Genomic DNA, 24,561 nt, shown 5'->3' on the forward strand with positions numbered 1-24,561 from the left:
GCACAGATAAAGCAAAGTGGAATTTAGAGATTTGAAAGAGTATATCAAGCTGAGCAGTCACAGAAAGCTCATGGAGGAAGTGCCATTTGAAATGGGCTTTGAATGGTATGGGTGGGATGCAAGAGGTTGGGTGTTCAAAGGTTGCTATGGGCCGGGCGCGGTGGCTTACGCCTGTAATCCCAGCACTTTGGGAGGCCGAGGTAGGAGAATCACCTGAGGTCAGGAGTTCAAGACTAGCCTGGCCAACATGGTGAAACCCCATCTCTACTAAAAATACAAAAATTAGCCAGGCGTGATGGCAGGTGCCTATAATCCCAGCTACTTGGGAGGCTGAGGCAAGAGAATCACTTGAACCTGGGAGGCAGAGGTTGCAGTGAGCTGAGATCGAGCCACTGCACTCTAGCCTGGGCCACAGAGTGAGATTCCATGTCAAAAAAACAAAACAACAACAACAAAAACAAAAGCTGCTATGGAGGAGGGGAACCTCCAGTCCTCTTCGTCCACCCTCACTGATGATTTTTTTTCTTTTTTTTGAGACGGAGTCTCGTCAAGCGATTCTCCTGCCTCAGCCTCCCGAGTAGCTGAGATTACAGGCATGCACCACCACGCCTGGCTAATTTTGTATTTTTAGTAGAAACGGGGTTTCTCCATGTTAGTCAGGCTGGACTCGAACTCCCCACCTCAGGTGATCTGCCTGCCTCGGTCTCCCAAAGTGCTGGGATTACAGGTGTGAGCCACCGCGCCTGGCCAGCATTCTCAAATTTAACATGTCTAAAAGAGAACACCTGACGCCTCCCCACCTATTCAACCCAGATCTGTTCTTCTCCATCTTCCCTATCTCAGTAACTGGTACCGCATTTGCTCAGGTGCGGGGGATCGGGCAGGCTTCCTCCCTACTCCTCATCCTGTGTCCAGTCCCTCAGCAAGCGTTGTCCTTGTGCTTTGAGACGTATCTAGGAATTGACCACTCCTCACCATCTCCAGTGCCAACACCCAGTCCAGCCCCTGCCGCCTCTCATCCAGCAGGGCTTCCTGGGCTGCCAACTGGTCTACCAACTTCTAGTCTTAACCCCCAACCAACTCTTTTCCAACCAGCACTTAGAGTATCCCTTAAAACACAAATCCAAGCTCTCTCTGGCTCAGTACCATCTCCCCCAGAGTAAAAGTCAAAGTCTTGACAAAGTCCCCAGTTTCTACGAGGAGTCCCAGCAAAGCCATGTGGTCCCCTATCTTTAGACGTTGCCTCTCCATTCTCCCTTTCCTCGCTCTGCCCCAGCCACACTGCCCTCCTTGCTCCTCCACACATGCTCTACCTCAGGGCCTTTGCACTTGCTGTGTGCTCTGCCTGGACACGCTTCCTCTGACATTCACTTTGCCAGCTCCTTCCTATTACTCAAGTCTCTGCTCAGATGCACCCTTCTCCGGGAGGCTTTTCCTGATAATTTTTTTAAAAAACATTTGTTTGGCCGGGCGCGGTGGCTCACGCCTGTAATCCCAGCACTTTGGGAGCCGAGGCAGGTGGATCACGAGGTCAGGAGATCAGGACCATCCTGGCTAACACGGTGAAACCCCGTCTCTACTAAAAATACAAAAAATTAGCCGGGTGTGGTGGCGGGTGCCTGTAGTCCCAGCTCCTCGGGAGGCTGAGGCAGGAGAATAGGGTGAACCCGGGAGGCGGAGGTTGCAGTGAGCCGAGACAGCGCCACTGAGCAAGACTCCGTCTCAAAAAAAAAAAAAATTCATTTGTCTGTCTCCCTTGATTGGATGTAAGATCCATTTAGATACATGATAGGCACTCAAAGAATATTTGTTGGATGAAAGAAGGAACAAATATATGGCCAGGCGCCGTGGCTCATGCCTGTAATCCCAGCACTTTGGGAGGCCGAGGTGGGCGGATCACCTAAGGTCAGGAGTTGGAGACCAGCTTGGGCAACATGGCAAAACCTCATCTCTACAAAAAATACAAAAATTAGCCGGGCATGGTGGCATGTGCCTATTGTCCCAGGTACTTGGGAGGCTGAGGTAGGAGAATTGCTTGAACCCGGGAGGCGGAGGCTGCAGTGAGCGGAGATCACACCACTGCACTCCAGCCTGGGTGACAAGAGCGAGACTCCATTTCAAAAAAAAAGAAGGAACAAATAGAAAAGATGATGAAATGTTAATAAATGAGCAAGCCAAGCATACTGCTTTCATTACACAGCTGCATCTCTCAAGAGACATGGGACATGCTTGGAGAAACTTGTCTTTGCAGCCAGCGCCCGCTCACCAGTCTGGGCTCTCTGCGCTGCCTGACTCTAGTAGGCATCTGAAGTGATGGCTGGCAGGCAGCCTCTTCGTCAGCAGTGGATTGCATTTTGGGTAGAAGAGCCTGAATGCTGGGTCCATACAACTGTGACTGCATTCCCAGCAGAAGGAGATGGTTTTGTTTAGATGTGCCCTCTGTCTAGTCCAGGGACTCTGGCAGTGGTAGGAAGAGCCTTTCTGTGGGAAGACATGGCTGCTTGCAAAGCTGGTTTGTTCTTTCCTTCATTCAAAGAAATATTTTGGCGATCCTACTTTGTATTCGGCACTGTGTAAGCTGCTGGCAGTGTTACAGTGAAAAAGACACATGTGGTCCCTGCCTTCAGGGAACTCAGTCTAGAGGTGGAAATGGAGAAATACTGGGAGGGGCACTTGCTCAGCTTGGAGTGGGGTCAATTCTCAAAGGAAATGACATCACCTCATCTGAGATCCAAAGGCCAAGTAGGGACTAGACCACAAAAGGGTGCAGCAAAGGTAGAGAAAACAGACAGGAGAGAAGAGGGAACGTGTGTGGAGAGCCCTGGAGGAAAAAGATCATGGCTTGTTGGAGAACTGAATGAAGTTCATATGGCTGGGGCTTGAGTACCAAATGCAGGGACAGGCAAGAGATGACACCCCCATGGAGAAAACTGCTTCCAAACACTTGATTTAAAGCATCCAATCCTCTCTGACATTGTCCTCAAAGGAACTGCCATCAAGGAGGTCCCCAAAGCCTTCCGTTTGTTGTACCCTCTTTGTGCCTTGTGGGAGCAGGTGGAATGTCACCAGAAAAGCCACTCTGAAAGTGAGTAGGAGTCTGTGGCTAGCCACAGGCGCTCAGAAACCCTGAGCTTGAGGTGTCTCTCTTGCCAAGTGGTGGAATCCTGGAATCTAGAGTGGGCTTTGTTAAGAAACAAACAAACAAACAAACAAAAAACAGTTAAGCTTGTCAAATGGCCTGTTGGTTGGCAGAGCTGTTTCATTTTCTGGGAGGGGGGTTGGAGGGGAAGGTTCCTTTGAGGCTTTTGACAGCACCAGCTAAGTGGTTTTCTTCTCCTCCTATTCCTTTTTCTCCATATTCTCCTCTTCCTCCTCTATCTTCAATTTTTTTTTTAACCTAGTGCAAGATTCTTCTTCAGTACCACTGCCCACATTCCTGGTTGCTGGAGGGAGCCTGGCCTTCGGAACGCTCCTCTGCATTGCCATTGTTCTGAGGTGAGATGGGTCCCAGGGGATGGCCCTGTGGTGTTCTCATATTTCTTATCTAGCTTTCCTTTGCCCATTCTGAAATTTATGGTGCATTTATTCATTCATTTATCCATTCATCAAATGAATGCACACACCACAACACACACAACACCTACTATTATGCCAAGCCGTGTTTTAGGTGCTGCAGGAGACAATGCTGGGCAGGACAGATACAGTCTCAGGAAGAAGTCAGACACGAAGAGGTAATCACTACTGTGGTAAGAGCTACAAAAAGCATGCCATGGTGAGGAGAACTGACCTGGCATTAAGGAGGAAGAGGAATTGGTCTGAGAAAGAAGAGGGTTCTTTTTTTTTGAGTCAGCATCTCACTCTGTCACCCAGGCTGGAGTGCTGTGGTGCAATCTCGCCTCACAGGACAACCTCTGCCTCCTAGGTTCAAGTGATCCTCCCACCTCAGCCTCTGGAATAGCTGGGACTGCAGGTGCACACCACCCTGCCTAGCTAATTTTTCTATTTTTTGTTGAGATGAGGTTTCATGTTGCCCAGGCTGGTCTCAAACTCCCAGGGTCAAGTGATCCGCCTGCCTTGGCCTCCCAATGTGTTGGGATTACAGGTGTGAACTACCATGCCCGGCCCAAAGAGGGTTCTTAGGAGAGAAGCCCAGCATGTAATATGGTTGACAGCGTGTGCATGCACGTGTCTGTGAAGGGGGCGCAGCACGGTTGGGGCAATATGGGGCAGGAAGAGTGGACAGGTAGGCTGGCACCAGGTCATAAAAGGCCTTGAAAGAGGTGGGAGGATTTTAGGCCTTCTCTTGAGGCTAAGGAGTGTCTGTTGGAGTTTTTTTCTTTTTCTTTTTCTTTCTCTTTCTTTTCTTTTCTTTTTTTTTTTTTTTTGAGACAGAGTCTTGCTCTGTCGCCCAGGCTGGAGTGCAGTGGTGCGATCTCAGCTCACTGCAACCCCACCTTCTGGGTTCACACCATTCTCCTGCCTCAGCCTCCTGAGTAGCTGGGACCACAGGTGCCCGCTACCATGCCCGGCTAATATTTTGTGTTTTTAGTAGAGACAGGGTTTCACCGTGTCAGCCAGGATGGTCTCGATCTCCTGACCTCGTGATCCGCCTGCCTCAGCCTCCCAAAGTGCTGGGATTACAGGCGTGAGCCACCGCGCCCAGCCTGTGGAGTTTTAAGAAGAACCTGGGCCAGGCGCTGTGGCTCACGCTTGTAATTCCATCACTTTGGGAGGCTGAGGCAGGTGGATCACCTGAGGTCAGGAGTTCGAGACCAGCCTGGCCAAAATGATAAAACCCTGTCTCTACTAAAAATACAAAAATTTGCTGGGCATGGTAGTGCTTGACTGTAATCCCAGCTACTCGGGAAACTGAGGCAGGAGAATCACTTGAACCTGGGAAGCGGAGGTTGCAGTGAGCCAAGATTGCGCCACTGCAATCCAGCCTGGGTGACAGAATGAGACTCATCTCAAACAAAGAAAACCAAAAAGTCACTCTCAATGCAGTTTGGAGACTGGATGGGGTGAGTGAAAATGGATGCAGTAGCCCAGGGTCTGGGCAAGAGATAATAATAAACTGTTTTAGGATGGTGGCAATGGGTTGGAGAGCCATGAATAGATTCTTTTTTTTTTTTTTTTGAGATGGAGTTTCGCTTTTGTTGCCCAGGCTGGAGTGCAGTGGTGCAATCTCAGCTCACTGCAACTTCCGCCTCCCGGGTTCAAGCGATTCTTGTGCCTCAGCCTCCTGAGTAGCTGGGATTGCAGGTGAATGTCACTACGCCCGGCTAATTTTTTGTATTTTCAGTAGAAATGGGATTTCATCATGTTGGCCAGGCTGGTCTTGATCTCCTGACCTCAGATGATCCGCCCGCCTCCGCCTCCCAAAGTGCTGGGATTACAGGCGTGAGCCACTGCACCCGGCCTCAAGATATATTTTAGAGGTAGAATTGACAAGGCTTGACAACAGATTAGATGAGGAGGATGAAGGAGAGGGAGGAGTCCGGGATGACCCTCCCATTTCTGGCTTCAGCAGTTGGGCAGATGATACTGTCATTCACTAAGACTGGAAACACCTGAGGATAGACAAGTCTCAGTGAAAAGTGGTGATTCCACTTTGGGACCCACTTGAGTTTGAGATGCCCCGAGAACCTCAAGCGGACACGCTTGGCAGGCAACACAGATCGTCACCAGCAAGTAGATGGCAATAAGAGTCATTGGGTGGGGGTTGGGGATAGGGCTGAACCCTGTGGGGATCCAAGGTGAAAAGTTCTGTAGAGAAGGAAGTGTTGGGAAAGGGGCTGAGAGGAACCACAAGATTCTGGTGTTGTAAGAACGAGAGGGAGGGAGTGTGCATTAGACACTGAAGAAACACAGTAGGTGTTGGAATTACAACATGAATATGACCTTTCCTCCCTTCCGAGAACCACATACTCAAATGATGAAAATACCATGTGAAGGTATTTTCATGGTAGCTAACGCCTGTAATCCCAACACTTTGGGAGGCCGAGGCAGGTGGATCACTTCATGTCAGGAGTTCAAGACCAGCCTGACCAACATGGTGAAACTCCGTCTCTACTAAAAACACAAAAATTAGCTGGGCATAGTGGCACATGCCTGTAATCTCAGCTACTTGGGAGGCTGAAGCAGGAGAATTGCTTGAACCCAGGAGGCAGAGGTTGCAGTGAGCCAAGATTGCACCACTGCACTCCAGCCTGGACAACAGAGCAAGACTCCGTCTCAAAAAAAAAAAAAAAAAAAAAAGAAAAGAAAAGAAGAAAGAAAGTAACATTGGAGAAGCACCACACAGTTAAATCCAAGGCGCCCAAGCAGGACCTCCTTAGGAATATTCCATGTATCAATCCAGGAACTTAAAGGTCACCTTTAAATGCTCTGCCCTAGTGTTCTTTTCCAGCCATGGTTAGGAAATACTCATTCAGGCTGAGTTGCACCCTGGCTGCTGTCTCATCATGCCCATTTCATCCCAATCATCTTCGCTCCATTTGGTCATTGGTTTTGTCATTCATTTCCAAGTCTGCAGAAAAGTCAGCCAATAGTGCCTTCAGTGAACAAGCAATAATGAAATTTTTCGGTGTTCACAATTTTACTGCAGGAACCGGCTTTTTTTCATAAGCTGAAACCCTAAAAGATGTCAGGCTGGGTCTTCTAGGCAGTGGTTAATCGCGATGATCTACAAGTGGAGGAGACATTGCACTCTGTCCTTTCTACATGTAGAGAGCTTTCTACACGTTAGCTCATCAGACCCTGCCAGTAGCCCTGACCTAGCTTGACTACCAAGTGTGGTGTGGGTTGAAAGATTAGCAAGATGACTACTCAAATTGGGTTCAGGGTTGTTTTCACTTTTTTTCTTTTTCTTTTTCTTTTTCTTTTTTTTTTTTTTTTTGAGACGGAGTCTCGCTTTGTCGCCCAGGCTGGAGTGCAGTGGCGCGATCTTGGCTCACTGCAACCTCCGCCTCCCGGGTTCACGCCATTCTCCCGCCTCAGCCTCCCGAGTAGGTGGGACTACAGGCGCCCACCACCACGCCTGGCTAATTTTTTGTATTTTTTTTTAGTAGAGACGGGGTTTCACCGTGTTAGCCAGGATGGTTTCGATCTCCTGACCTCGTGATCCACCCGCCTTGGCCTCCCAAAGTGCTGGGATTACAGGCGTGAGCCACCGTGCCCGGCCTTCACTTTGCTTTTTCAATGAAGTAGATTACAAGCCGTCTGAAGGGTGCGTGCAAGATAAGATTCTTAATGAGTAGAGGTAGCTCCTTGGAGGATGCAAAGCCTGTTATATTTTTTGGCCAGTGAGGGGCCATGTCAGCATCCACGGGTTCACCTCCTGCCTACCAAAGGATTCCTTGCCTCACCCTAGGTATACCCTCCTGTGTTCTGGCTCTGTGTCTACGTTAGGGCTTCAACAGACTTTTCTCATAACCCACCACAGGCCCTATAGAGTAGAGTAGATATGATATACATTTGACGGGAGGAAACTGAAGCTAAAAGAGATGGTGCGATAACAGCTAGTAAGAATAGGCCAGGCGCGGTGGCTCACGCCTGTGATCCCAGCACTTTGGGAGGCCAAGGCAAGTGGATCACCTGAGGTCAGGAGTTCGAGACCAGCCTGGCCAACGTGGAGAAACCCTGTCTCTACTAAAAATACAAAAATTAGCTGGGCATGGTGGTGCACACCTGTAATCCCAGCTACTTGGGAGGCTGAGGTAGGAGAATCGCTTGAACCCGGGAGGCAGAGGTTGCAGTGAGCCGAGATCGCGCCACTGCACTCCAGCCTGGGCAGCAGAAGGAGACTCCATCTCAAAAAAAAAAAAAAGATGAAGAAGAAGGCCAAGAATCAAACCAAAAACTCCTGCTATTTCTATAGGGCCTTAAGGGTCATCTAGTCAAACTCTTTCATTTTATAAATGAGGAAACAGCCCCCAAAGGTAAAATGACTTGCCCAAGGACAAGCAAGAACACACACCCTGAGAGTCCCTGCCCATGGTCCCCACCTGCTATTGGCTAAGAGCTGGGCCCAGCTGGTCCCATTGGCCCACCACTGGCCCTTAACATGCAGCACCATCTTGGTGTGTTGTAATGGCTAATAGAGGAGCATTAGGTTGGGAACAGACCTGGTTTGCTATTCTGCTGATGATGCTTGGACACTGGCTGGTTGCTAAACAACCAGAGTCCCTGCAGGCACAGACAGGGCCAGTGCCCTGTGCTGAGAACATGCCAGGAATTTATTTTCTAGCCTAGTGAGTTTCCATTTTCTTCTGTATAAGGCAAATTTGTTTGGAAAGAGGCCAGTTATTTCAAGTGATGAAGAAGCCTTCTATTCCCCAAATCCCCTCTGTCTAGCAAAGAGTATAAACTTAGAAATACTGTGGGGCTCTGGGCTGCCAAAATGGCTGAACCATGGTTACCATGGGATGGCCACATTTACAGTAGGTGAAGTGTGAGAGGTTGACTTCATCCTGCCAGTGTATACTATATTTTTTTGTATGGCCCTAAATCTTTTTCCAGCAATATCAGTGATTTTTTTCTTTGTTTTTTATTACTCATTCTTTTTTTCTGAATCATAGATGATTTTTTAAAATTTAAATATGCTATCGAAAAGGCTTGCCATCTTACAGGGGCCAATTCCTCCCACCCTATTCTCTGTCCCCCACTGATTCTCTGTATTTTAGGTTATCAGGCACTGGGAAAATAGAATTCTCCTAGTAGAGAATTATTTTTCTGCATATTTATCTAGAATGAGCTTACATCATTAAGTGAGGACTTCCTATGTGTATGCCTATGACTTAAACATCATTTCGTTTTGAATGTAGTGTATCATTCCGGTATTTTAAAATCAGAGCTTTTGCTACCTCCACAGCTGGGGGACGGGCAGAGGGACTTTCATGGTGTTCCGGGCCATGGAGGTGGCTGGGTGCAGTGGGCACTGTCTGTGGCCTTTGGGGTAAAAGGGGTGGCAACTTGGTTTCTACATATCTTTCTAAAAAAGAGTGAGAGTTTTGAGCATTTTAAAAAACTTCTTTTAGCTACAGAATCTTTTCTTTAAATGAAACTTTTTGAAGCCCAAATATGTAAAATAGATAAAAGGTGGAGGTCAAGGTGCAAAAGAAGGCAGCAGAGAGCTCATCTGTTTCTTCTTTCTGCCCACCCTGTGTCCTCTCCAGCCCCCAGGCCCTGCTCACACCCATCCAGGCCAGCTCTGGACACCCTCAGGTTGGCTGGTTTCAAAGTCCTCTTTGAGTTTAGTGATTTTCAGAAAAGAATTCATACTCGCCTTAGAATATTTCAAAAGGAAAGCTCACCTTTCTTTGTTACCCATTCAGTTACTTTGAAAAAAAAACTGAGGACAGAGATTGCTTCCATATTAGGTCAATAGGGACTTAAAAAATATATACATACACACATACATATGTATGTGATATGTGATTATTACTGGTGATTTGCTAAATAATGACAAATGGAAAAAAATATATGTCATCCAAAGAGAGCCACTGTTAATTTTCAAAATGTAAATGTGATTGAAGTCTAACAAACATACAGAAAAGTTCCCACATCATGTGTACAGCGCCATGAAGTGTACACACCCATGTCATTATAATGAGATGCACGTGGCAAGTCAAGATGCCAAGACACCAGGTTGCAGCAGAGAAAGAGGTTTAATCAGAGGGTCACCAAAGGAGGAGATGGGAGGAAACCTCTGTAGGGTCCAGCCGTACGGAGCTTAGCGGGTGTTCTCCCCGTGTGTGGAGACGAGAGATTGTAATAAATAAAGACACAAGACAAAGAGATAAAGAGAAAGCACCTGGGCCTGCGGGACCACTACTATCAAGATGCAGAGACCGGTAGTGGCCCCGAACGTCTGGGCTCGCTGATATTTTTTGCATACAAGACGAGGAGGCAGGGTAAGGAAGGTAAATCTTCTAAGTGATTGACAAGGTGAAGCAAGTCATGTGATTACAGGATCGGGGGCCCTTCCCTTTTAGGTAGCTGAAGCAGAGAGCAGGCAGCATATGTCAGGGTTTTCTTCTCTGCACTTATAAGAAAGATCAAAGACTTTTAAGACTTTCACTATTTCTTCTACTGCTATCTACTATGAGCTTCGAAGAGGAACCAGGAGTGCGGGAGGAGCATGAAAGTGGACAAGGAGCATGACCCTTGAAGCACAGCACCACAGGGAGGGGTTTAGGCCTCTGGATGACTGCGGGCAGGCCTGGATAATATCCAGCCTTCCACAAGAAGCTGGTGGAGGACAGTGTTCCCTGACTCCTCCAAGGAAAGGAGACTCCCTTTTGCCGGTCTGCTAAGTAACAGGTGCCTTCCCAGACACTGGCGTTACCGCTTGACCAAGGAGCGCTCCAGCGGCCCTTATGCCGGCATGACAGAGGGTTCACCTCTTGCCTTCTAGGTCACTTCTCCCAATGTCCCTTCAGCACCTGACCCTATACCCGCCGGTTATTCCTAGGTTATATTAGTAATGGAACAAAGAGTAATATTAAAAGCTAATGATTAATAATGTTTATAATAATGATTGATAATTGTTCATGATCATCTCTGTATCTAATTTGTATTATGACTATTCTTATTCTATTTTCTTTATTATACTGAAACAGTTTGTGCCTTCAGTGTCTTGCCTCGGCACCTAGGTAATCCTCTGCCCACACCTCAAATCCATCTCCCCAAGGAATTTGGGGCTAGGGTTGTAAAAATGTTGGACTGGGCCAAAGTGTGGAGATGGTTGACTGGTTGCAGGGTGTAGGGTGAGGTCCTGGGACAAGGAGATGAAGAAGCTGTCTTCTCATGCCAATCCCGTTCCTCTGTGAGGGTCTTCAAACTGGTTGCCGGAATTAGGGGTCCGTAAAACATCTTAAGTGATCCTTAAACAAAAGTCTTAGGATCCTAATGTCAGAAATCCTATCTACAGAAACAACGGGGATGCAGATGGTCAGTGTCTAGGGCTACGTGACTTTTTGCAATAAGGAAATGGGCCAAAGTGCAGCCTGATTACTGCTTCATTATAACTATTAATATATTTCTGTCCAGAACCCAGCATGCAATTTTTGTCAACCCTGTGGAGATGGTTTTACAATCAACACCCAGATCAAGAACACTTAATATTTAGACAAATCTCCTGAGTCTTTTTCCTCTGCCTAGTTTCTTGTTTGTTTTTACACAGCCATGATTATTCTGTATCCTCAGCTCTGCATCCTGCCTTTCACACTTAGCACTATAACACAGGCATTCTTTCACATTAGTACAAATTCTTGTAAATCTCAGACTTTTTTTTTTTTTTTTGAGACGGAGTTTCATTCTTATTGCCCAGGCTGGAATGCAATGGTGCGATCTCAGCTCACTGCAGCCTCCGCCTCCTGGGTTCAAGCAGTTCTCCTGCCTCGGTCTCCTGAGTAGCTGGGATTACAGGCGCCTGCTACCATGCCTGGCTAATTTTTGTATTTTTTAATAGAGGTGGGGTTTCACAATGTTGGTCAGGCTGGTCTCGAACTCCTGACCTCGTTATCTGCCCGCCTAGGCCTCCCAAAGTGCTGGGATTACAGGCGTGAGCCACCGTGCCTGGCCATAAATCTCACTTTCATTAGCTGTAGTATTAGGTGGATATACCAATTTCTCTTAATCAACCTCCTATTACTCCTAATTGGTGGCACCCAAACATTACCAATTATTTGGGTGTTATTTTGCTTTTATTTAATTAATTAATTAATTTATTTATTTATTGAGACACATCACTCTGTCACCCAGGCTGGAGTGCAGTGGCACAATCTCAGCACACTGCAACCTCTGCTTCCTGGGTTCAAGCAATTCTCCTGCGTCAGCCTCCCAAGTAGCTGGGATTACAGGCATGCGCCACGACACCCGGCTAATTCTTTTTTAGTAGAGACAGGGTTTTGCCACATTGGCCAGGCTGGTCTTGAACTCCTGACCTCAAGTAATCCACCCACCTTGGCCTCCCAAAGTGCTGGGATTACAGGCATGAGCCACCACACCCGGCCTTATTTTGCTTTTATAAAAAACACTGTGTTGAACATCTTTGTGCATAAAGGGTTTTTTTTTTTTTATAGCTATGTTCTTTCTTTTCCCAGAAGTAGAATTCCTGGGTCAGAGAGTCTGAATTCTTTGAAATCCAGAGTGTAATGATTCTCTCCTCAGTCCTTTCTTACAGGAGAACTCCATTCAATGACTCAGCATAGCTCCAGTCAGCAGCCCTGCTGGGCTCTCTTCCTGTGTGGTGTCCACATGGTGAAGCCCTAAATAATATTCTGCAGATTGTTTATTTCATTTGGATACCAAGCTAAAAGCCAGTGGCAGATTTGGAGCCAACTATTAATTATTTATCATAACAAGGACAGGAATAACCTGTCGATATAAAAAGAAACCCAAGGAAAATCCCCAAATCTTGTTTTTGACATTGGTTTCCCCTCCTCTTTCCCAGCCCTTCCTGGAGTAACTGATCTTCCATGGAATTGAGGGAGGCCACCTTGTTCCCACTTTGGGGTTAGGAGGCATGTCAGTCACAAAGTGGGAAGCAAGAGGGAGGGGCTGAGGCTTGGGGCACTGGCCACCCTGGCACAGTTGAAGGGCCCCTTTAGGAAGGGGACGTGACTGTGCTTTTGAAGATCCATGTCACCATTTCATCTTTCTTTGAGCTGTCAAGTGACTTTTCTCAGTTACTGAGCCCTGGCTTTGGGCCCAGAGTGGAGCACTGTGAACCAAGCTGTGATCAGAAAGATGTCTATCTCCTTCCTGTGTAGCATTGACTTTCCTGTCAGATGAGTCAAATTGTGCCCAGTGGTGCCGACAGTTGAGTCTGTGGGAACTCACCAGCATGGTGGGAGTGGACCGAGAGGCGTAGGGAGAACTGGGGAGGTCAGCAACATTAGGAGCAAGAGGAACAGGAAGGCAGTTGAGGGAGCAGTGGGACCCTTTTCCTGCTATTACATGGCGGTTGCAAATTATCTGCCTCCTGCCAGCCTTACTTTGACCGAGAGGCCCATTTTCTTTCCCTACTAAAAGAATGCTTTCTTTTTTTATTTTCTTTCCTTTTCTTTTTTTTTATTTTTGAGACAGAGTTTCACTCTTGTTGCCCAGGCTGAAGTGCAATGGCACGATCTCAGCTCACTGCAACCTCTGCCTCCCGTGTTCAAGCGATTCTCCTGCCTCAGCCTCCCAAGTATCTGGGATTACAGGTGCCTGCCACTACGCCTGGCTAATTTTTGTATTTTTAGTAGAGACGGGGTTTCACCACGTTGGCCAGGCTGGTCTTGAACTCCTGACCTCAGGTGATCCGCCCGCCTCGGCCTCCCAATGTGTGGGGATTACAGGCGTGAGCCACTGCGCCCAGCCTATTTTTCTTTTTTTTAAGTAAATGGATTTGGGACTGATGATGTGTACCTAATGAACAGCCTCTGCAATGGGACAATTAAGGGACTGTTAAGTGACTTTTTGGTGCCTCAGTTTCTTCACTTGTAAATTGGACCAACAATACACATCTATTTCCTTGGGAGTGTTTTGGAAACTCACCAACTCTTCAGAGTATGGTGAACTCCCTGGTGATAAAAACAGTCGGGTCGGGTGTGCCGGCTCATACCTGTAATCCCAGCACTTTGGGAGGCCGAGGCGGGCGGATTGCTCGAGCCCAGGAATTCAAGACCAGCCTGAGCAACATGGCAAAACCCTGTCTCTATGAGAAATACAAAAATCAGTCGGATGTAGTGGCACACACCTGTAGCCCCAGCTACTCAGGAGGCTGAGGTGGAAGAATCACCTGAGCCCAAGGAGGTTGAGGCTGCTGTGAGCTGAGATCACGCCATAGCACTCCAGCCTGGGTAACAGAGCAAGATCCTGTCTCAAAACAAACAAATGAACAAAAAACAAAAAGACAGCTGATAGTTATTGCTCCTTTGAGCCGAAACCTGGGCGCGCCAGGCCACCAGGGCAGCCAGCTGTTGGTGTTTTCCACTGTGGGCTTGTCACAGGGGGAGCTAAAAATCTGTGTGGTTTGTCTTTGTGTGTTTGTGTGAAGGTTCAAGAAGACGTGGAAGCTGCGGGCTCTGAAGGAAGGCAAGACAAGCATGCATCCGCCGTACTCTTTGGGGCAGCTGGTCCCGGAGAGGCCTCGACCCACCCCAGTGCTTGTTCCTCTCATCTCCCCACCGGTGTCCCCCAGCAGCCTGGGGTCTGACAATACCTCGAGCCACAACCGACCAGATGCCAGGGACCCACGGAGCCCTTATGACATCAGCAATACAGACTACTTCTTCCCCAGATAGCTGGCTGGGTGGCACCAGCAGCCTGGACCCTGTGGATGATAAAACACAAACGGGCTCAGCAAAAGATGCTTCTCACTGCCATGCCAGCTTATCTCAGGGGTGTGCGGCCTTTGGCTTCACGGAAGAGCCTTGCGGAAGGTTCTACGCCAGGGGAAAATCAGCCTGCTCCAGCTGTTCAGCTGGTTGAGGTTTCAAACCTCCCTTTCCAAATGCCCAGCTTAAAGGGGCTAGAGTGAACTTGGGCCACTGTGAAGAGAACCATATCAAGACTCTTTGGACACTCACACGGACACTCAAAAGCTGGGCAGGTTGGTGGGGGCCTCGGTGTGGAGAAGCGGCTGGCAGCCCACCCCTCAACACCTCTGCACAAGCTGCACCCTCAGGCAGGTGGGATGGATTTCCAGCCAAAGCCTCCTCCAGCCGCCATGCTCCTGGCCCACTGCATCGTTTCATCTTCCAACTCAAACTCTTAAAACCCAAGTGCCTTAGCAAATTCTGTTTTTCTAGGCCTGGGGACGGCTTTTACTTAAACCGCCAAGGCTGGGGGAAGAAGCTCTCTCCTCCCTTTCTTCCCTACAGTTGAAAAACAGCTGAGGGTGAGTGGGTGAATAATACAGTATCTCAGGGCCTGGTCGTTTTCAACAGAATTATAATTAGTTCCTCATTAGCATTTTGCTAAATGTGAATGATGATCCTAGGCATTTGCTGAATACAGAGGCAACTGCATTGGCTTTGGGTTGCAGGACCTCAGGTGAGAAGCAGAGGAAGGAGAGGAGAGGGGCACAGGGTCTCTACCATCCCCTGTAGAGTGGGAGCTGAGTGGGGGATCACAGCCTCTGAAAACCAATGTTCTCTCTTCTCCACCTCCCACAAAGGAGAGCTAGCAGCAGGGAGGGCTTCTGCCATTTCTGAGATCAAAACGGTTTTACTGCAGCTTTGTTTGTTGTCAGCTGAACCTGGGTAACTAGGGAAGATAATATTAAGGAAGACAATGTGAAAAGAAAAATGAGCCTGGCAAGAATGTGTTTAAACTTGGTTTTTAAAAAACTGCTGACTGTTTTCTCTTGAGAGGGTGGAATATCCAATATTCGCTGTGTCAGCATAGAAGTAACTTACTTAGGTGTGGGGGAAGCACCATAACTTTGTTTAGCCCAAAACCAAGTCAAGTGAAAAAGGAGGAAGAGAAAAAATATTTTCCTGCCAGGCATGGTGGCCCACGCACTTCGGGAGGTCGAGGCAGGAGGATCACTTGAGTCCAGAAGTTTGAGATCAGCCTGGGCAATGTGATAAAACCCCATCTCTACAAAAAGCATAAAAATTAGCCAAGTGTGGTAGAGTGTGCCTGAAGTCCCAGATACTTGGGGGGCTGAGGTGGGAGGATCTCTTGAGCCTGGGAGGTCAAGGCTGCAGTGAGCCGAGATTGCACCACTGCACTCCAGCCTGGGTGACAGAGCAAGTGAGACCCTGTCTCAAAAAAAGAAAAAGAAAAAGAAAAAATATTTTCCCTATTAGAGAAGAGATTGTGGTTTCATTCTGTATTTTGTTTTTGTCTTAAAAAGTGGAAAAATAGCCTGCCTCTTCTCTACTCTAGGGAAAAACCAGCGTGTGACTACTCCCCCAGGTGGTTATGGAGAGGGTGTCCGGTCCCTGTCCCAGTGCCGAGAAGGAAGCCTCCCACGACTGCCCGGCAGGGTCCTAGAAATTCCCCACCCTGAAAGCCCTGAGCTTTCTGCTATCAAAGAGGTTTTAAAAAAATCCCATTTAAAAAAAATCCCTTACCTCGGTGCCTTCCTCTTTTTATTTAGTTCCTTGAGTTGATTCAGCTCTGCAAGAATTGAAGCAGGACTAAATGTCTAGTTGTAACACCATGATTAACCACTTCAGCTGACTTTTCTGTCCGAGCTTTGAAAATTCAGTGGTGTTAGTGGTTACCCAGTTAGCTCTCAAGTTATCAGGGTATTCCAGAGTGGGGATATGATTTAAATCAGCCGTGTAACCATGGACCCAATATTTACCAGACCACAAAACTTTTCTAATACTCTACCCTCTTAGAAAAACCACCACCATCACCAGACAGGTGCGAAAGGATGAAAGTGACCATGTTTTGTTTACGGTTTTCCAGGTTTAAGCTGTTACTGTCTTCAGTAAGCCGTGATTTTCATTGCTGGGCTTGTCTGTAGATTTTAGACCCTATTGCTGCTTGAGGCAACTCATCTTAGGTTGGCAAAAAGGCAGGATGGCCGGGCGCGGTGGCTCACGCCTGTAATCCTAGCACTTTGGGAGGCCAAGGTGGGAGGATTGCTTGAGCTCAGGAGTTTGAGACCAACCTGGGTAACATAGTGAGACACCATCTCTATTATGAACAATAACAGTTAAGAAAAAAAAAGGCAGGCAGGCGGTTATGGTGGTTCCCTCCCATCCCACCACATAAAGTTTCTGAGACTTGAGAACAGCAAAATGCTGTTAAAGGGAAATATTAAGAATGAGAATCTGCAGTAAGGGTGATTCTGTGCCCACAGTTCTTCAATTCTTTATACCGTTTTACCCACATGTGGTGTTACCAAAGCCGGGCAGAACCATGCTAGCGGAAGATGTGAAATCCAGATAGCTCATTATTGCCAAGAGCTAGGCAGCTTTGATCTCCAAATTGTTATTGCTTTCATTTTTATTGTAATGGAATTGCTTTGTTTTGTTTTTTTGTTTTTGTATTGAAGAGGGTTGTTTTCCCTTTATTTTTCATAAGCTAATGTAAATGAAGAAAAAATGTCTTCTCTGGGCTGTAGGCCTGGCTCAGCGTACACAGGTATACATCCTAAGCTCTCTATGTTCTCTAATCTGTGGTGACTGAACATGTGTCTCAATGCACGGGGCATTTCTACCTGTGTTTCTGCAGCACCCCCACTGCCTTGAGTCCCCAGCAGTGCTGTTATTTGCCTAACACCTGTAGCCATCTGCCACGCAGCCAGACGTGAAACGCTGAGACAGAGACCATTTAGGTTAAATACGACAGCTTATCCTGCTGGGTGGGGAAAGTAAAAAATATGCTGGTTCAAGGCCTAAAGTAAAATGATCAATAATGTTTGTAGCATTAATGAAATATTTTCAAGAAATGTGTCCAGGGGTAGCACTGGCTATGTTGACGAGGCCTTTGGTAACTCAGAGAGCTCTTGGCCCTGATGGGGACTTGCCCTTACGCTTTCTTTATCAGGCTCTGAGTTCACACGGAGCCTCTGGCACTTCCCTGCTGTCTTGGGAGAAAGGAAACTGGTTGCCGCGGCAGGTTGTGGAATCTGTTGCTGGAACCAGGCTGGAAGCCCACCTGGTAGTGAACAGGGCCCAGTGGGGCAGGCTGGGCATGTTGTGGTCTATGGGTTTGTTTCCTGGAGAATGTTCAGGAATGTCTTCCCAGCTGCTTTGGTGCTGAGCTCTATTATCTCACAGCACGTCCAGAAGGCTAACCCAGGTGGGGAGGATGCTGACACCAGCTCCAGGTGGAGTTGGTGGTCTTAATTTGGAGATGCAGGGGCAACCTGTGACCCTTTGAGGCAAGAGCCCTGCACCCAGCTGTCCCGTGCAGCCGTGGGCAGGGGCTGCACACGGAGGGGCAGGCGGGCCAGTTCAGGGTCCGTGCCAGGCCCTCCTCAGTGCCCTGTGAAGGCCTCCTGTCCTCCGTGCGGCTGGGCACCAGCACCAGGGAGTTTCTATGGCAACCTTAGTGATTATTAAGGAACACTGTCAGTTTTATGAACATATGCTCAAATGAAATTCTACTTTAGGAGGAAAGGATTGGAACAGCATGTCACAAGGCTGTTAATTAACAGAGAGACCTTATTGGATGGAGATCACATCTGTTAAATAGAATACCTCAACTCTACGTTGTTTTCTTGGAGATAAATAATAGTTTCAAGTTTTTGTTTGTTTGTTTTACCTAATTACCTGAAAGCAAATACCAAAGGCTGATGTCTGTATATGGGGCAAAGGGTCAGTATATTTTTCAGTGTTTTTTTTTCTACCAGCTATTTTGCATTTAAAGTGAACATTGTGTTTGGAATAAATACTCTTAAAAAATACCCTTGAAATGTAATTATTGCTTTGGGCATCTGGGTCATCTAAAAAAAAAAGGCTTGCCTGATTCATGAGGAGAAAGGAGTGAGGAAGGGGGGATAATTAAGTAGAACCATTTTTGGGGGGGTATCCCCTTAATGCAGGATTAAAGGACCGCTCAAAAGTAGGTAAGTTCAAGGAAGAAGCAGCAATTTCTCAGAAGGCTTTAATTATGACAGTATTTCCCACACGAGTCCTGGGATTTCTGGAAGGGGTGTGTGGGATTTTGCCACGCTTACATCACATTACCAGGTGGTGGACAGGTGGGGAAGGAAAAGGAAGGGCCATTATTTGTCAGAAGACTGTTTATTGGACCTGGGAGGGGGTGTAACACTATCACAAAGGCCACCCTGAACTCTTGATCATCAGATAGACCAAATCCATCCCCTACTGAAAAGGATCTTAGGTAGGAAAAACTTGGGACACAGCCATCCACATCTTCCAAACAGAGGAAAAGCCATCATGCGGACTCTTTGTGGGTGAGAGCTACTGTGTAAACAGTTCAGGGATGGGGAGGCGAGAACTGCAGGGAAGCCTGGAAATTATGTAACTCCACTCAAAGCTGGACTGAGAGGCGCCGCCTCTGGGCCCCCACCTGGGCAGTCAGAGGAAAGCCACAGGACAGGTGATGGTGGCCGCCATCTCCTTCAGGACACCATGCTCTCCTCTTTGAGGCTGGTCCTTGTCTTGCAGAAAGTGACACAGGGACCAGATGTCACCCAGGTGGCCAGGCTGCGTGGGCCATGGAGGGGGCACGGGAGTGGGCACTGGAGCCAGGACGTGGAGGGAGCTGCCTCCCTTTCTTCATGGCATTGCTGTTAGGATGACATGGTTACGGTGCTCTTTCCAGAAGAACTTAGGAGAGCAGATGGTGATTTCTGTAGAGGATGGCAAGGAATATGCAGTTACTGGAGCAGCCTTCTAAGAAAGCATTTTCCTTATTTACTGAGGCACAGGGCAACCAAACCTTTCTGAATATCTGTGAGAATTACAGGGCAGGGGCAGGAAACAGTGTTTGCCATCCTCCATCCTCCAGTAGCAGAGGTGTGCTGGCGAGGTGAAAGGCCTTTTAAGGCCAGGTGCGGTGGCTCACTCCTATAATCCTAGCACTTTGGGAGGCTGAGGTGGGTGGATCACTTGAGGTCAGGAGTTCGAGACCAGCCTGGCCAACATGGCAAAACCCCGTCTCTACTAAAAATACAAAAATTAGCTGCATGTGGTGGCGGGCACCTGTAATCCCAGCTATTCTGGAGGCTGAGGCAGGAGAATCGCTTGAACCTGGGAGACAGAGGTTGCAGTGAGATGAGATCGTGCCATTGCACTCCAGCCTGGGCAACAGAGCCAGACTCTGTCTCAAAAATAAAAAATAAAAAAAATTTGCCTGGCATGGTGGCGGTCACCTGTGATTCCAGCTACTAGGGAGGCTGAGGCAGGAGGACTGCTTGAACCCGGGAGGCGGAGGTTTCAGTGAGCTGAGATCACACCACTGCACTCCAGCCTGGGTGACAAAGAGTGAGTGAGACTCCATCTCAAAAAAAAAAAAACACAAAAAAAAAATAAAAGAAAGGTTCAAATGCAGCACTGCTGTAAGGGCTGGGGCGAGAGCTCAGAGCAACTCCTTAGGCGGAGTGGTGAGCCCGCGGGCCACAGGGTGAGGGGCCTGTTGCACCATCTTTCAAACACTACCCAATCTCTAATGTCTTTATGGAAGTTCCCATCTTCTGCAGGTGTATGTCACTTAAAAAACAAAACAGGCCAGGCGCAGTGGCTCATTCCTGTAATCCCAGCACTTTGAGATGCTGAGGTGGGAGGATTGCTCGAGGCCATAAGTTCAAGACCAGCCTGGTGCACATAGCATGACCCTATCTCTAAATAAGAAAAAATAAAAATGAGAAAAGAGGAAGAAGTACATTTCCCTATATCTACAAAAAAGAAAAAAAATTAACCAGGTGTGGTGGCACCTGCCTGTAGTCCCAGCTACTCAAGAGGGTGAGGCGGGAGGATTGCTTGAGCCCAGAGTTCAAGGTTATAGTGAGCCATAATTGTGCTACTGCGCTCCACCCTGGGTGACAGCAAGACCTTGTCTCAAAAAAGAAAGAAACAAGCAAACAAAACACCACTAGTTCAGCCATGTCCTACTTCATACCCAGTTTTTGATGACAATCCACAACTTGAATAAAGTTAAGTTTTTCAGTACTCTCTCTCTCTCTCTCTCTCTCTCTGTGTGTGTGTGTAAGCATTCACACTATAGGTGTATGCATTATTAAATTAAGGGTGTTCTTTCTTCTAACTTCAAATTGCTTAATAAAGCTGCCCAATGTCCTGAAAAAAAATAGCTCACTGCATCATGGGAAGCTGCATTTTGATATGTCAGTATGATTTTTTAAAGAATGAAATGTATCAAGAAGCCAGGTACAGTGGCTCACGCCTGTAATCCCAGCACTTTGGGAGGCCAAGGCGGGTGGATCACTTGAGGTCAGGAGTTCAAGACCAGCCTGGCCAACATGGTGAAACCCCATCTCTACTCAAAATACAAAAATTAGCTGGGCATGGTGGTGGGCGCCTGTAGTCCCAGCTACTCAGGAGGCTGAGGCATGAGAATCGCTTGAACCTGGGAGGTAGAGGTTGCAATGAGCACTCTGTCTCAAAAAAAAAAAAATTATCAGAAGAGCAACTTTATTCTATTTTGGTTTTTAAATTAGTGTGCTGCTCTATAAGAGTTTTTAAATGATGGAGAGAGGTACGGCATGGTAGAGTCTGTTACCAGAGATAGATGAAGAGAGAAGTAAAAAGCAGAGGAAGCCAGCACCTGCACGCACCACTCACGCAGGCAGCGTGTTTTCCTGCAGAACATAAATGCACCTCAGCATGTAATGCGGCCAGCTTGTTAGAACCCCATTCCTGGCTTCACCCTCAGGGATTCCAGTTCAATAGGTCTGAGCTGGGCCCCTAGAAAGCTATATAAGCTGCCCAGATGGTTCTGATGAAGGTGGTGATCCATCCTGAGAGTGGCTGGACCGTGAGTTCCACAATGAGGTGGATGCTGGGGGTTCCTCATACTTCCGGACCTGGTGGGCTTCAGTGGATCCCTTCTGTGGGTGGGCCTGTGCATCAGAAGGAGGCCAGGTGCCAACCTTTGACCCGGGCAATCACAGTAGCATGAGTGTAAGTTACACAGGTGATGCTGCTGTACAGCCAGCTTTGAAGATCTCTGTGCTGGGGACCGCAGGGCTAGAGGTAAGATTCACAGCAACATGTTTCAGTGGGTGTTAACTAGAAAACAAAAATCTATGGCAGCAAAGCAGTACACCAACTGGCCTTACTGGTTACCTAGAAGTTCACAGGCCCTTTGTGGTAGAGATATCTACTAAAATTACCTAATAATAATGGCTACTGGCTGGGCGCAGTGGCTCACACCTGTAATTCCAGCATTTTGGGAGGCCAAGGCAGGGGGATGGCTTGAGGCCAGGAGTTCAAGACGAGCCTGGACAACATAGTGAGACCCATCTCTACAAAATAATTTTTTTTTTTGAGATGGAGTTTTGCTGTTGTTGCCAAGGCTGGAGTGCAATGGCACAATCTCGGCTCACCACAACCTCTGCCTCCCGGGTTCAAGCGATTCTCCTGCCTCAGCCTCCCGAGTAGCTGGGATTACAGGCATGTGCCACCATGCTCGGCTAATTTTTTGTATTTTTAGTAGAGACGGGGTTTCTCCGTGTTGGTCAGGCTGGTCTCAAACTCCCAACCTTAGGTGATCCGCCTGTCTCAGCCTCCCAAAGTGCTGGGATTACAGGTGTGAGCCACTGAGCCCAGCTCTACAAAATAATTTTTAAAAAACCAATTAACCGAGCATGGTGGTGCATGCCTGTAGTCCCAGCTACCTGGGAGGCTGAAGCAGGAGAATCCCTTTAGCCCAGGAGTTGGAGGCTGCAGTGAGCCGTGATAGTACCACTGTACTCCAGCCCGGGCAACAGGTTGAGACGCTGTGTGTTGGGGGGACAGGGGTCGAAGGGGAAGAAAGAAAAAAAAGAATGGCAGCTGGGCGCTGTGGCTCATGCTTGTAATCCCGGCACTTTGGGAGGCTGAAGTGGATGGATTGCTTGAGCCCAGGAGTTCGAGACCAGTCTGGCCAACATGGCAAAACCCTGTCTCTACTAAAAATACAAAAAACTAGCTGGGCATGCTGGCACATGCCTGTAGTCGTAGCTCCTCGGGAGGCTGAGGTGGGAGGATCACCTGAGCCTGGGAGTGTGAGGCTGCAGTGGGCTGTGATCACACCACTGCCTTCCAACCTGGGTGACGAGTGAGACCCTGCCTCAAAAAATAAAAAAAAAAAAAGTAAATAACGGCTACCATTTACTGCCTCTCCACCATGTGCTTTATAAACAGGATATTCTTCCTTAATGTGGCTGCCATGTAAGTATTCTCACCTGTTTACAGATGAGGCAACTGAGGCTTATATTGAAGATGGTGGTCCAAGATGCCCACGCTAGTTAAGAGGCTGAACTAGACTCCAAACCTGGGCCTGCTGGACTGGAAGGCTGGTGCTCTTTGCTTTTGCCATGGGGCTCCGGCCCCCAGCCACTGGTGACTACCTCATGGGCTTCTCTTACCAAGCCCTTTCTCAGGCCAGGTGCCCTCACCCTGTGTGGGGTGGGGCCTGACCCACTCACCCCGGGAGGAGATGGACCTGGTATCCTCATGTGGTTTGTCACGTTTATCAGTGTGAGCTGGGGCTGGAGGCTGACCCATGGGAGTCTGAGCGCACATACAAAGGCATGGCTTGGGGGCTCCCATAGGTGATCCTAAGGCAGTGGCAGCCAGAGATGGGTCTCAAAGGAGAGGGGCAAAACTAGTTCCTGACATAGTTAACTCTCTCTGATCAGGGACCAAATCAAGCCACTTCCCCTCCATCTATACCTAGCCACACCTCTGCACTGCATGAATGGTTTGGTTTTTTCCTGTTGGTTCCTTGGTATAAACTTTGATGAACTTCCTGAAAATTCTCAAATTGTGCTTTATTTATTTATTTATTATTTTTTAGACAGAGTCTTGCTCTGTTGCCCAGGCTGGAGTGCAGTGGTGCCATCTTGGCTCACCACAACTGCCTCCCAGGTTCAAGCGATTCTCCTGCCTCAGCCTCCTGAGTAGCTGGGATCACAGGCACACACCACCATGCCTGGATAATTTTTGTATTTTTAGTAGAGATGGGGTTTTGCTATGTTGGCCAGGCTGGTCTTGAACTCCTGACCTCAAGTGATCTGCCCACCTCGGCCTCCCAAAGTGCTATTACAGGCGTGAGCCACCACGCCCAGCCAAATTGTGTTTTACTGATGGTATGGAAGCCTTATTACATCCACTCCCTCTGAAAGGATGAACGGTCACCACTCTGTGAGTGGAGCTGCTCTCTGGGTGCAAGAATTCATTCAAGGAATGTTTACTAGGCCACTGTGCTGGGTGTGGGGTACAAGAGGAACCAATGTCCTCCTCCAGGAGTTGGCAGTATGCCTGGTCAGCCACACAATTAACAAGCAAATGCTGTGTCTGGGAGCAAATGACTAATCTGGTCTAGGGAGTGAGGGAGCAGAGTAGGAGGGTCTGGGGAGTGGGAGGCCTGCCGGGGGTACAGGGGAGGGCTGAGGGCAGGGGCCAGGTGGGAGGGAGGCCGCCTTGGATGTCTACTATGTTGAGCACCTCTGCAATGTTCTTTTTTCTTTTTTTGACAGAATTTCACTCTTTTTGCCCAGGCTGGAGTGCAACGGCGTGATCTTGGCTCACCGCAACCTCCGCCTCCCAGGTTCAAGCGATTCTCCTGCCTCAGCCTCCTGAGTAGCTGGGATTACAGGCATGCGCCACCATGCCTGGCTAATTTTGTATTTTTTAGTAGAGACAGGGTTTCCCCATGTCGGCCAGGCTGGTCCTGAACTCCCGACCTCAGGTGATCCACCTGCCTCGGCCTCCCGAAGTGCTGGGATTACAGGTGTGAGCCACCATGCCCAGCCAAACCTCTGCAATGTTCTAAGTGCATTTAGGAAGTCACTGAAGACCGGATTTGCTCTTTTTTCTTGTGTACATATTTAATTTTTTTAAATGAGCATTGCTTTTAGAATTAAAGATAGCTTTATTAAACAATTATAACCCTTCTATTTTGGAATAGTCCAAT

General features: G+C 48.0%; 2 protein-coding genes across 19 annotated transcripts in view, besides 1 other annotated feature; one reads left to right on the forward strand and one right to left on the reverse strand.

The window, feature by feature from the left end:
* IL6R (interleukin 6 receptor) overlaps positions 1-18,364 on the forward strand; it is a 64,108-nt gene extending 45,744 nt beyond the window's left edge. For 6 of the 17 annotated variants that reach the window (NM_001382771.1, NM_001382770.1, NM_000565.4 and 3 more), the window contains 2 exons: positions 3,402-3,495; positions 14,048-18,364. In NM_001382771.1, the coding sequence (NP_001369700.1) occupies positions 3,402-3,495; positions 14,048-14,294 (341 nt within the window). In that variant the 3' untranslated portion in view covers positions 14,295-18,364. Of the gene's footprint in view, positions 1-2,986; positions 3,086-3,401; positions 3,496-14,047 lie in introns of those variants that run through there. The other 11 variants (XM_017001199.2, NM_001382769.1, XM_047419648.1 and 8 more) reach the window with 4 other exon arrangements.
* Positions 13,879-14,380: an enhancer, noted in NCBI's record as "H3K4me1 hESC enhancer chr1:154437441-154437942 (GRCh37/hg19 assembly coordinates)". NCBI's record gives its function as "activates a minimal SCP1, AML or CMV promoter by ChIP-STARR-seq in primed H9 embryonic stem cells {active_cell/tissue: H9 hESC(primed)}" and the evidence as "EXISTENCE:reporter gene assay evidence [ECO:0000049][PMID:30033119]".
* The window catches only part of SHE (Src homology 2 domain containing E), a 32,776-nt gene continuing 26,765 nt past the window's right edge, over positions 18,551-24,561 (reverse strand). For both annotated transcript variants that reach the window (XM_005244891.6, XM_011509163.4), the window contains one exon: positions 18,551-19,276. In XM_005244891.6, coding sequence (XP_005244948.1) covers positions 19,255-19,276 — 22 coding nt within the window. In that variant the 3' untranslated portion in view covers positions 18,551-19,254. The remainder of the gene's footprint in view (positions 19,277-24,561) is intronic.

The sequence above is a fragment of the Homo sapiens genome, chromosome 1, assembly GCF_000001405.40.
Source record: "Homo sapiens chromosome 1, GRCh38.p14 Primary Assembly".
Classification (NCBI taxonomy): Eukaryota; Metazoa; Chordata; class Mammalia; order Primates; family Hominidae; genus Homo; species Homo sapiens.